The sequence below is a fragment of the Homo sapiens genome, chromosome Y (genome assembly GCF_000001405.40).
Source record: "Homo sapiens chromosome Y, GRCh38.p14 Primary Assembly".
NCBI classification, from domain to species: Eukaryota; Metazoa; Chordata; class Mammalia; order Primates; family Hominidae; genus Homo; species Homo sapiens.
This window is the reverse complement of record NC_000024.10, coordinates 11270909-11284901: the sequence shown is the minus strand read 5'-3', so window position 1 is coordinate 11284901 and position 13993 is coordinate 11270909. Positions and strand designations below refer to the sequence as shown.

The 13993-nt window shown below is 38.0% G+C and overlaps 1 annotated feature.

The window, feature by feature from the left end:
- Positions 2452 to 2953: an enhancer, noted in NCBI's record as "OCT4 hESC enhancer chrY:13437625-13438126 (GRCh37/hg19 assembly coordinates)". NCBI's record gives its function as "activates a minimal SCP1, AML or CMV promoter by ChIP-STARR-seq in naive and primed H9 embryonic stem cells {active_cell/tissue: H9 hESC(naive and primed)}" and the evidence as "EXISTENCE:reporter gene assay evidence [ECO:0000049][PMID:30033119]".

Genomic DNA, 13993 nt, shown 5'->3' with positions numbered 1-13993 from the left:
GGATTTTGTTGCCATTGCTTTTGGTGTTTTAGACATGAAGTGCTTGCCCATGCCTATCTCCTGAATGGTATTGCCTAGTTTTTTTCTATGGTTTTTATGATTTTAGGTCTAACATGTAAGTCTTTAATGCATCTTGAATTAATTTTTGTATAAGGTGTAAGGAAGGGATCCAGTTTCAGCTTTCTACATATGGCTAGCCAGTTTTCTCAGCACCATTTATTAAATAGTGAATCCTTTCCCTAGTTCCTGTTTTTGTCAGGTTTCTCAAAGATCAGATAGTTGTAGATATGCGGCATTATTTCTGAGGGCTCTGTTGCATTCCATTGGCCTCTATCTCTCTTTTGGTACCAGTACCATGCTCTTTTGGTCACTGTAGCCTTCTAATATAGTTTGAAGTCAGGTAGCGTCGTACCTCCAGCTTTGTTCTTTTGGCTTAGGATTGACTTGGCAATGCAGGCTCTTTTTTGGTTCCATATGAACTTTAAAGTAGTTTTTTCCAATTCTGTGAAGAAAGTCATTGGTAGCTTGATGGGGATGGCATTGAATCTATAAAGTACCTTGGGCAGTATGGCCATTTTTACAATATTGATTCTTCCTACCCATGAGCATGGAAGGTTCTTACATTTGTTTGTATCTTCTTTTATTTCATTGAGCAGTGGTTTGTAGTTCTCCTAGAAGAGATCCTTCACATCCCTTGTAAGTTGGATTTCTAGGTATTTTATTCTCTTTGAGGCAATTGAGATCCTTATTGTGAGATTCAATTCAGAATCTGGGATTTTGTTTTGTTTTGAGATGGAGTCTCTCTCTGTCACCAGGCTGGAGTACAGTGGCACAGCCTCAGCTCACTGCAACCTCTGCTTCCCAGGTCCAAGTGATTCTCCTGCCTCAGCCTCCCAAGTAGCTGGAACTACAGGCACGTGCCACCATGCCGAGCTAACTTTTGTATGTTTTTTTAGTAGAGATGGGGTTTCACCATGTTGGCCAGGATGGTCCGGATCTGTTGACCTTGTGATTTGCCTGCCTCAGCCTCCCAAAGTGCTGGGATCACAGACGTGAGCCACTGCGCCCAGCCCAGAATCTGGGTCTTAACCAGATTTGCCATTATAAAATGAAATGAAACCAAAACCACCAGTCAATATCTGTAGCAGTGTTATTGTTGGAGAGCATGCACGTTTGTTTGAGCTTACTTATATATACAGAGCTGTTTAGCTTAATCTTTAAATTGAAAATTTTTAGTGTTTTTAGAATGTTTTAGATACTTTGATGAATAAATTTTGTGTTAACAAACTACTATTAAAAAAACTTATAGATTATATATTTCTGAATAAATTGGCAGATGTAAATGACAAAGTTATATTCACACAATCAGTTTTTCTTGCACATAATTGACATTTTGTCAAAAAGTTAAAATCCTTGAAATGTATTTTCTGTCCTCATCTTTCCCCTTTTGAGCATTTTTCCCCCCTGGGTTGGCTATAAAATATGCCCTAACTTCAGGCATCTGGTTAAGTTTTGGGTTTTCTCCCTTCCTACCAACTCATATGGATTGGTAATGATCTGATAGAAGACAATTGCCAAAAATCAGTCAAATATGTTTTAAATGAAATTTCTCCAATATAATATTCATATTAATCTTTCTTTAATTGCTGAAAGAGTAATAATTGTTCACTGACCCTTAAAATCCTAAAACTTAATCAGCTCACTGGAGTGGATGAATGGATATTTGTCTAGATGAGAATGCTTAGGGTTTACTTCAAGGAGTTCATAATAGTAAAAATGTCCTTTTCTTCCATCAGAAACTTCATCCTGGATCTTTTCATCATTGTTTTTCTACTAGCTCTCCTTCTCCAAATACACTGACTTGGAACCCCAGTTTCAGTGGTGGACTGCGTGGGTTTGATTCTAAGCTATGCTATAATGAGAAAGTAGCTCTAACCCTATTCTCATTTTCTTCACCTGTAATATAGAAATCATCATCAGACAATATAAAGATAGGGGCCAGTTATTTCACAGATAATAATAGGTGAAAATAGAGAGTATGTGGGTGTAGACATGGGAAAGTGAACTTAAATGGTTTCAGGAGTCTGTGGAAATTGTCTTTGGGTGATTCAATGTTCTCAGGGAAGCACAACCAAAAAGACATTGAGGATTTATGGGGAAGTGTTAGGGATTAGAGACAGGATAAGATACAAAACTAGGTAAATTAGAGAGTGAATAGATTGGAACATATGTAGTATGATTGATTGATAGGCGGCACTCAGATTCTCAGTTTCAAGTGGGATATTTTTCAATTTGATCCATATAGCTAGTTGCTAAAATATATGTGGGGATTTGGTGGAAATTTGGATGTAACCAGGGTTATTTTCCTGGTTAGGTTCAGCAAAGTGAAAGAGAAAGAAGGAAGTTGAAGTTTCCTGGGAATGGTTGGCCATGGAATTTAGGCAGGAGAACAGGAAACAGAGTACATCAGTAGGTAAGGGTCATTATGAATATGACAAAATATATTTTGGAGGTCTCAGAGAGATTGAAAAATTTTATGTCAGCGTATGAAAGGGAATGATTAAAGGAGGAGCTCAGAGAATGGGATGAATGAAATTGTGACTACAGAGAAGTTGCTACTATAAGTAACGACGATGCTTCACTCAGTCCCTCTGGAAGTGTGGTCCCTGTGCTAGCAGCAACAGCATCACCTGGGAACTTACTAGAACTGCATATTCTCAGGTTACACCCCCAGATCTACCAAATCTGAAATTCCAATAGCAGGTCTCAGCAATCTCTTATTGTAACACAACTGTAGGCAATTTTGAGGCACACAGTAGTTAGCACAACTGGTCTAGTGTATGTCCTATTTGGTCTTCCTCCCCGGTTCACAGTACAGAGCTCCTAAAACTTGAAATTTCCTGATAGAGATGAGAGGACCATCCTTTACTAGTCATAAGTCCCTCTTAGACATACCTGAGTTTATGCTATTGACATGACATGAGTGGTAGCTGGAGACCTGTATAGCTTCAGGGTGGGTGCTCGACACCAGAAACATGAAGGCATAACTAGATGGTTGAAACTGTCAGCCCTCTCCTCCATCACCTCTGAGGTGCTGGGAAGGTGATACTATGATATACTTAGAGGTCATATGGCAGCTTTGTGCCCCTTTTCACCATACCTGGCCCTATGTGTCTCTTCTATTTGACAGTTCCTGATTTGTATCAGACAGTAACTGTAAGCAAAGTGCTTTCTTGGGTTCTGTGCGCCATCTTAGCAAATTATAGAACCTGGGGAAGGAATCCATGGAAGTCCTAATTTATAGCCAGTTGGTCAGGAGTATGGGAGGCCCACAACTTCTCTCTAATGGTGGGGGGGCAGTCTTGTGGGCCTGACCCCTGAACTTGTGGGATCTGATGCTATCTCCAGATAGATAGTCTCAGGATTGAATTGAATTGTAGGACACCATCTGGTGTCCTGAGAGTTGAAAAATTGATTGGGGTGAGACTAAATCCACAAATTCCATCTCAGAATTTTGAGTAGAAATAATTCTGTTGGAAAACATTATCCTTAGATCAAAGGTGTTTATAGAACTGAGAGATCAAAATGGCAAAGAGTCATCTATGATTACACATTGTTGACATAAACTAGAATTAAGACAAGAGTATGTCAAAGAGAGTTACATTGAGCCAGGGATAAAAATAGTCAATCGATTGATTAGAATTTAGTAAATGTTATTTTTTGAAAAATTAATCTTTACTTAATTAATGGAGATACTTAATTATCTCCATTTAGACTTTAAATTTATAACTAAAAAATTGCTATTTTATCTATTTTCCATAAATGGAAATTGAAATAACAATAGCAAAATGCTTCGACAGAAAATCTGCCCTTCTTATTCCCAAGAGGAAGAATGGCCAACTACCTTAAGCAAAATGTTAGAAAAACTTTCATAATTTTTTAAGTTGCCATATTTTATAGCTTTGAACAAGTTGAATTATTAACTAGACTGCTCAGGGAATGGAGCCATTTAATATAATTTCCTTAATATTTAGATAAAATCTTTGTTGTTGAAAATCTTAATCATTTTTAATGATCCTGTTTTCAGAGACTGATATTAATGATTCGTGACACTCATTAAATGCAGTTATGCATCTGATTTGAAAATCATGAGGGAGATTTTTCGTCAGATAAGCATAGCAAATCTATGTCACTAGACATAATTCCCTTCTACCCATGCCACAAGCTTTATGTCTACTCTTGAATTGAGGTTTTGCTACGTTTTATTTTTGTGGTTTAAGAATTATTCATTTAACTGACGGAAAATTGTGTTTCTCTTGTTAGAATAGAGCCCAACTTATCTTTTCTATTTTTCATGGAGACATGAAAGGACGTGAATTTGGAATCAGAGAAACCTGAGTTCCACCATGCTTTCTTCCTCTTGCAAGCCATGAAATCCACAGTGGGTTAGTAGATATTACAAAACCTCTGGTCCCACCTTATTAAGATGAAAAAAAATAATACTAATTGAAAGAACGAATGTGATAATGAGAAGAAATGGTATCAATAAAGTTTCTGGAACACAGTAAGTTCTAACAAATGCTAGTTCTTTTCTTTCATTATTCAAAATCTAAATAGAAGCCAGTTGGTAATTCCAAGATAATAGTATGAAGACAAAAAAATGTTTGTTAACTGACCTTCAACCATTGAGACCTTATCTTATAGGAAGAAAATTAACAAATATTTTCTCCCTTCTACAAACGTATACCCTCTGAGAAAGAGACACAGTGTTCCAATCAAGACGATGACAGTATTCTGTGCACACATAGGAAGGGAAGAAGAATAAGAGAGAACCTTTAAAAAGACAATTTTAGATAGGCACCCTATTTTTACCGGCAATAACATTTTGTAGAACTTACAGCATACAAAATAGACCTTAAATGGACTCAGTGCTGAGAAATTTTTATAAGGCTGCTTTATTTTCTTCTATGGTAAATCTAGGAACCAATAAAATACCTTTGATAATTCACTCATTACATTCTTTCCGAACTAAACTATTTACATTATAAACTTTGTTGATATGCTTTGCTTTTGCATTAATAATTCTCATGTGTCTCATTTGTGAATACAAGAAAACTAGTTGTAAAATAAGGAAAATGTAATTTTGAAACATCTTCAAAAACAGTTGCATAATTTAACAATGTTTATAAATTTTTGTCCTTACTCTAAAACCATATATATCCTAAAAGTGATTGAAGGTAAAATGATTTTTTAAAGAACTGGATTTCTCACCATGATTTATTTTATCTCCGTACAAACTTTGGTAGTGTTATACGATGGTTAAGAAGAAATTACTTAAAAGTGAGAATAAAGATACAGCTTATTAACACTTCATTTTGTGGATGAGACCTTAAAAATCAAACTTTTCTTCTAGAGACATGTTGTAGTTGTGTATATAGAGTGTGACTAGATAGTGTCCATATTTTACTGTCATTATTTAAACAGAAACATGTAATTTGCACTTCAAAAACCTACTACAAATTAGCTGTGTCATTTGGAAGTGTCAAAATTATCTCATTAATGATCAGATAGGCTTTTGGCTCATTGTAATGAGATGTTCCTATAAACCTAATTTGAAAGACAAAGACAGAGGTTGGAGTCTTTAATTCTTTGTAAAATCAGTAGCTCTATTTAGGGAAATATTTGCAAAATACTATTTCTACTCAAGCATATTTTTATTTACAAGGAACTTCACAAATGTTGACCACAAAGATGTTTCTACCTAGCAGAAATAATTATAGTTACATATAGTTGTCTAGGAATATCTTAAACATGGGGTATTAAAATAACTTTCAAGAACAAGAAGAAATGTTATACCAGGCATTTTTGCAACTAGAGCTCTATTTCAGTGCAATATTTGTGGCAATTAAAAAACATAAATGGCTTGGATATATAGCTAAGATATCAAAGGAAAAATATGCAAAGTCATGATTATTTTATAAATGTGCCACATATGTGACTTGAGGTACAAATCCTCTAAGTTTAAAATTGTCTTTTTAAAAAAGAAATCAAAACAGACAAGTGAGCAATGAGTTATGGATATTATTATAGGGTACTCTGGTAAACTACTAAGAAGACGACTTTTGGTACCGAAAATTCCAATTAACGACATGCCCCCATTAAGGCCATGATCACTGCCAATTTTTACTCACAAAGGCTGGAGCTAGAGTTATATGGAATTCCATATGTATCTAAACCATAGATTTATCAATTATCACTGAAACACAACTTGGAGGACACTATCCAGAATTTGTAGGGCTTGGCCTTATTCTAGAGAAACATACACTAGAATAGGCAGTTGGATTTTAAATTCAGTCTTAAATCTGTTGAAAATAATGCATTTTTTCTCAGAGATGAGATATTGTTCAACTCTTTTGACTTATTTTAGATTTGGTATTATACAGTTCGAACACCATGGAGATTTACTAATATGAATGAACACATACCAAATTAGTCTTTGCTCCAGTCTCAAAATCAGATTAATTCTGGCTGCTGAAGAAATTTTCCAGTGTTAGGAGTATGCTTCAATGCTGGTGACTGGTACTACTTTCTGGTAAACTATAGATGACATGTGCGCTTTCATTGCCTAAACTCACTTTGTAGAACACCATTAAATGAAAATCATCACAAGCAATTTGGGAGGCTAAGGAGGGCAGATCATTTGAGGTCAGGGGTTTGAGACCAGCCTGGCCAACATGATGAAACCCGTCTCTACTGAAAATACAAAAACTTATCCAGGCATGGCGGGATGCACCTGGAATCCCAGCTACTTGGGAGGCTGAGGAAGGAAAATCGCCTGAACCCAGGATGTGAAGGTTGCAGTGAACAGAGATGTTGCCATTGCACTCCAGCCTGGGCAACAGAGTGAGACTTCATCTCCAAAAAAAGGAAAAAAAAAAAGAGAGAAAGAGAGAAAAAAAATTATCAGTGTTCAGTGACTCTTTTTTTTCATGCTGATAAACTATTACACAGAAAAAGAAAATTTTCATGCTGATAAACTATTACACAGAAAAAGAAATGTATCCATTATGGACAATTAAAAGGGCTATTCAATCTCTCTCATTGTATGATTCTGGTTTTCTTTCTTTTTCTTTTCTTTTTTTCTTTTTTTTTTAAGACAGGATCTCACTCTGTCACCCAGGCTGGAATGCAGTGGCTCTATCTTGGCTCACTGCAACCTCAGCCTCCGGGGTTCAAGCTATTCTCCTGCCTTAGCCTCCTGAGTAGCTAGGAATAAAGGCATTCACCACCACGCCAGCTAATTTGTGTATTTTTTTAATACAGGTGGGGTTTTGCCAGGTTGCCCAGGCTGGTCTTGAACTCCTGACCTCAAATGATCCTCCCTAAGTATTGGCATTACAGGCATAAGCCACCATGCTTGGCCTGATTCTGTTTTTTAACACAATTCTTATTACTTCTGTTTTTATTTTACAAAGCCATAGGTTTTTTTAATCTGGGAAACCTTTGAGAAAACATCCAGATAAATTTATAAATAGAAAAATAAATTCAGATACATAGAATTAAGTTTATGATCTAACAAGTGGGTGGCCATTGAAAACTTTCCAAGTTCCATAAACTGAAGTGAAAGGATCACTTTCCTGAAAATATTACAAAGGCTTGATAATTACCTGGATTGTACTAAAACCTACACAATCTAGTATATTCTATAGCAGCAATTCATAAAGACAGCTTCACTTACCATGTAGAATTTATACGTACACTAAATTTAAGGAATGCGTTACTTGCTATTGGAGTAGGATAATAAACTCCCAGCACAACTGATTTGCATGAATGCCTATTAAACTATCATTGACGTAGAAATTAAACAATATGTTAAGCTATTCAGCCCCAGATGTGTGAGAGACAGAGAAAAACTTAAAAAGAGTTCAGCTACCAAATCCCTTCCTCAATAGCTCTTTGAGTCTCAAGACAGTTTCAACCACACACACCCTCAGAGTCTTATGGTCCAAACAACATTTGACTGCGGCTCTAAAGTAAGCAAACATTTGAAAAGAAACAATGAAAGATCTATGCCTGTAGTTATGGTCAAGGAGGTCCACCTACTGGTGGGTGAGCATGGCAAGGATAGGGACTAAGCCAAATGATGAGTTTACCAAAACAGAAACAAGAGAAGTCATTGGAAGCACAGTCCAGGTTATAACAGGAGCCCAGGCACTTGATGTGGGAACCCTATTTGTCTCATTCAGCACCTAGAGTTTTAACATCCTATGAGGCACAGCTAATGCCCTTCATTATTTTTTTGTAATTGACTGCATAGTTTAGAACTATGGCTTGAATTTAATATCTATCTGTTGAATAAATGAATTAATAATGATGAAAATCTGTCCACAGGTTATGTGCAGTACTGAAGAGCAACTTCAGCTATTAAGGTATCTATCAGAAGTCTTACTCTCTAAAAAGCCTCTGGTTAGTTACTGATATACTTTGCGGATAATTTCACTCTCACAATGTAGGGGAAGCAGGAATGTTATCTGGCCTCTTGGCTCCTCTTCCTTTGCCTTCCACAGATCTCTCTGCTTGTTCACAGAGGAACACTTTCGTGGCTCTCAGTTCATTTTGCAATTCTGCTAGAATCTCATTCCATCCTCAGTTGTAACTAGCTTGTCCTTCACCCAACGCTTATTTATGGAGGGACAGAGAGCAAGAAGAAATCGCACTCTGGATTACAAAGTGGGACGACGCACCCCTTGGCCAGAATGCCTGCCTCCTATGTTCATGATGGATATTTCTAATTGATCTTGGCACTCTTTTCCATTGAGCCCATGTCCCAAATTGACCCTGAGTTAGGGAGAGGGCTCTAGAGTGGGAAAGGTGTACCCAAAACTTCCCTAATCTGACTATCAAGCCTAAACAATTAAACTTTCAATTCAACATCCCTTGTTTCTCCAACTTGGAGTGCCTGATGGTGTGAGAAGCCCCTACTCATAAAAATTCATAGATGAAGATTGTTGGTAATTTTGCCCAACCTCCTTCTTTTTTTTTTTATTATACTTTAAGTTCTAGGGTACATGTACACAACGTGCAGGTTCATTACATATGTATACATGTGACATGTTGGTGTGCTGCACCCATTAACTCATCATTTTCATTAGGTATATCCCCTAATGCTTTTCCTCCCCTAGCCCCTCACCCCACAACAGGCCCCAGTGTGTGATGTTCCCCCTTGTGATAGTTTGCTGAGAATGATGGTTTCCAGCTTCATCCATGTCCCTACAAAGGACAAGAACTCATCATTTTTATGGCTGCATAGTATTCCATGGTGTATATGTGCCACATTTTCTTAATCCAGTCTATCATTGTTGGACATTTGGGTTGGTTCCAAGTCTGCTATTGTCAGTAGTGCCTCAATAAACTCCTTCTTTCTTTGCCTAGTTACACCTCAATGCAACCTCCTGGAAGGCTAGCCTTAAGCCCAGCAGTCCAACCATGCATCTAAGCTGAGTTCTCGTCAGAGCCAACTTCAATTATAAACAACTGAGATGATGCCAGTGGCCAGAATTCCTGAGAACCCAATTTGCTGTCATCACCGCAGCTGAAACAAGGCGCTTGGCATCTAGAAAAGCTGATCTGTAGGAAATTTCCAATAGAGTTCAATTTTTTCCAAGTTTAAAGTGTACAATATCATCAAGGTCAGACACTCGAGGTAAAACTAGGCTTGTGTTTAAATATAATAAAAATATTTGAAGAATAGTAAGAGTGGTGACTACTTTCACACAGGAATGTTTCAAATAAATTGCTTTTTTCTTGTGCCTTTTAAATTTTGTGATTTGTCAATGAGATGCTGACATATTTTTAATGAAGCATGCCTTGTAAAATAATAAGTGAATGAAAACTACACAGTAATATTCACATCAACAAAGCTAGAAGAAGACTGTATGTCTCAAGAGGCTCCATCATCTACCCAGCGGCCACTTGACCAAATTAAGATCCAAATACCAAAAAGAAAAGTATTAAAATTTGTGTTGTATGCCTTATAAGACCAAACCTATAAAATGAGGGGAAACTTCACAATTACTTGTAATTTGCTCTGTGGAATTGTAACAGATGGATTATAAAGATGATTCCATGATAAACATCTAAATGTGGTTACTACCTTCTGTGCTTTCTTGCTTCATATTTTTATTGTTTTTTTCTTTATAAACAGATAATTCATTCTTTTCTAGGGCAATGCAAACTTTTCTGATGTATTGAATATGTCATAGTTTTTTTCTATTGTAGGCATCTCTAAAAAAGGTGTAGAAAACAAACAGAAAAGTCTGATGTTGGAAAGGAGAGAGAAATAAAGCTTTAAAGGAATGAAGATTAGAGCTTTCTGGAGATAAAAATTCTTAGAAGATACAAAAGGTAGTTATTGAATTAGATGAAGGTTCTTTTTCAGTTTTTCCCAGTTTTTCACCTCTTAGAAGGCACATATTCACAGCAGAAAAGAAAAAAAGGGTTAAAAAGAAAATACCTCGGTGTAATGAGACTGTAATTTATGAGGGCATTACTGAAGACTCACTTTTTCCAGCATCACTCAGCATGGTATTATGCATGTGTGTAATGTAAAGGAAAGTGAATACGCATTCTTGGATGGGTGATCAAATCGTAATTCCAGAATATAATCAGAAGCTGATTCATTATCCTCTTGAGATTTCACAATCTTTGTATCAGGAATTAAAATTCAGAAAAGGGTAAATGTATCTAATCTTTTGAAAGTTAAAAATTAGAGGATGGAGGCAACATGGTCGAATAGGAACAGCTCCAGTCTACAGCTCCCACCATGAGTGATGCAGAAGACAGGTGATATCTGCATTTCCAACTGAGGTACCAGGTTCATCTCACTGGGGAGTGCTGGACAGTGGGTGCAGCTCACTATGCATGAGCCAAAGCAGGACAAGGCGTCACCTCACCTGGGAAGCACAATGGGTCAGGGAATTCCCTTTCCTAGTCAAAGAAAGGGGTAACAGATGGAACCTGGAAAATCAGGTCGCTCCCACCCTAATACGGCACTTTTCCAACAGGCTTATCAAATGGCACACCAGGAGATTATATCCAGTACCTGGCTTGGAGGATCCTACACCCACAGAGCCTCGCTGTTGGCTAGCACAGCAGTCTGAGATCAAACTGCAAAGTTACAGTGGGGTTGGGGGAGGGGCGCCTGCCATTGCCCAGGCTTGAGTAAGTAAACAAAGCAGCCAGGAAGTTCAAACTGGGTGGAGCCCACAACAGCTCAAAGAGGCCAGCCTGCCTCTGTAGGCTCCACCTCTGGGGTCAGGGCACAGACAAACAAAATACAGCAATAACCTCTGCAGACTTACATGCCCCTGTCTGACAGCTTTGAAGAGAGTAGTGTTTCTCCCAGCATGCAGCTTGAGATCTGAGAACGGGCAGACAGCCTCCTCAAGTGGGTTCCTGACCCCTGAGTAGCCTAACTGGGAGGCAGCCCCCAGTAGGGGCAGACTGACATCTCACATGGCCGGGTACCCCTCTGAGTCAAAACTTCCAGAGGAACGATCAGGCAGCAGCATTTGCAGTTCACCAATATCCATTGTTCTGCAGCCACCGCTGCTGATACCCAGGCAAATAGTGTCTGGAGTAGACCTCCAGTAAACTCCAACAGACCTGCAGCTGAGGGTCCTGACTGTTAGAAGGAAAACTAACAAACAGAAAGGACATCCACACCAAAACCCCATCTGTATGTCACCATCATCCAGGACCAAAGGAAGATAAAACCACAAAGATGGGAAAAAACAGAGCAGAAAAACTGGAAACTCTAAAAATCAGAGTGCCTCTCCTCCTGCAAAGGAATGCAGCTCCTCACCAGCAATGGAACAAAGCTGGACGGAGTATGACTTTGATGAGTTGAGAGAGGAAGGCTTCAGAAGATCAAAGTACTCCGAACTAAAGGAAGAAGTTTGAACCAATGGCAAAGAAGTTAAAAACTTTGAAAAAAAAATTAGACGAATGGATAACTAGAAAAACAAATGCAGAGAAGTCCTTAAAGGACCAGATGGAGCTGAAAACCATGGCACAAGTACTACATGACAAATGCATAAGCCTCGGTATCCAACGTGATCAACTAGAAGAAACAGTATCAGCGATGGAAGACGAAATGATTGAAATAAAGCATGAAGAGAAGTTTAGGGAAAAAGGAATAGAAGAAATGAACAAAACCTCCAAGAAATATGGGACTATGTGAAACGACCAAATGTATGTCTAATTGGTGTATCTAAAAGTGACAGGGAGAATGGAACCAAGTTGGAAAACACTCTGCAGGATATTATCCAGGAGAACTTCCCCAATCTAGTAAGGCAGGCCAACATACAAATTCAGGAAATACAGAGAATGCCACAAAGATACTCCTCGAGAAGAGCAACTCCAAGACACATAATTGTCAGATTCACCAAAGTTGAAATGAATGAAAAAATTTTAAAGGCAGCCAGAGAGAAAGGTCAGGTTACCCTCAAAGGGAAGCCCATCAGACTAAATGCTGATCTCTCCTCAGAAACTCTACAAGCCAGAAGAGAGTGGGGGCCAATATTCAACATTCTTAAAGAAAAGAATTTTCAACCCAGAATTTCATATCCAGCCAAACTAAGCTTCATAAGTGAAGGAGAAATAATATACTCCACAGACAAGCAAATGCTGAGAGATTTTGTCACAACCAGGCCTGCCCTAAAAGAGCTCCTGAAGGAAGTACTAAACATGGAAAGGAACAACTGGTACCAGCCACTGCAAAAACATGCCAAATTGTAAAGACCATCAAGGCTAGGAAGAAACTGCATCAACTAACGAGGAAAATAACCAGCTAACATCATAATGACAGGATCAAATTCACATATAAAAATACTAACCATAAATGTAAATGGGTTAAATGCTCCAATTAAAAGGCACAGACGGGCAAATTGGATAAAGAGTCAAGAACCATCAGTGTGCTGCATTCAGGAAAGCCTTCTCACCTGCAGAGACACACATAGGCTCAAAATAAAGGGATGGAGGAAGATCTACGAAGCAAATGGAAAACAAAAAAAGGCAGGGGTTGCAATCCTAGTCTCTGATAAAACAGACTTTAAACCAACACAGATCAAAAGAGACAAAGAAGGCCATTACATAACGGTAAAGAGATCAATTCAACAAGAAATAACTATCCTAAATATATATGCAGACTATACAGAAGCACCCAGATTCATAAAGCAAGTCCTTAGTGATCTAGAAAGTGACTTAGACGCCCACAAAATAATAATGGGAGACTTTAACACCCCACTGTCAACATTAGACAGATCAACGAGACAGAAAGTCAACAAGGATATACAGGAATTGAACTCAGCTCTGCGCCAAGCAGACCTAATAGACATCTACAGAACTCTCTATCCAAAATCAACGGAATATGTAGTCTTTTCAGCACCACACCACACCTATTCCAAAATTGACCACATAGTTGGAAGTAAAGCACTCCTCAGCAAATGTAAAAGAACAGAAAGTTTAACAAACTGTCTCTCAGACCACAGTGCAATCAAACTACAACTCAGGATTAAGAAACTCACTCGAAACCACTCAACTACATGGAAACTGAACAACCTGCTCCTGAATGACTACTGGGTACATAAGGAAATGAAGGCAGAAATAAAGATATTCTTTGAAACCAACAAGAACAAAGACACAACATACCGAAATCTCTGGGACACATTCAAAGCAGTGTGAAGAGGGAAATTTACAGCACTAAATGCCCACAAGAGAAAGCAGGAAAGAAACAAAATTGACATCTTAACATCACAATGAAAAGAACTAGAGAAGCAAGAGCCAACACATTCAAAAGCTAGCAGAAGGCAAGAAGTAACGAAGATCAGAGCAGAACTGAAGGAAATAGAGACACAAAACACCCTTCAAAAAATCAATGAATCCAGAAGCTGTTTTTTGAAAAGATCAACAAAATTGACAGACCACTAGCAAG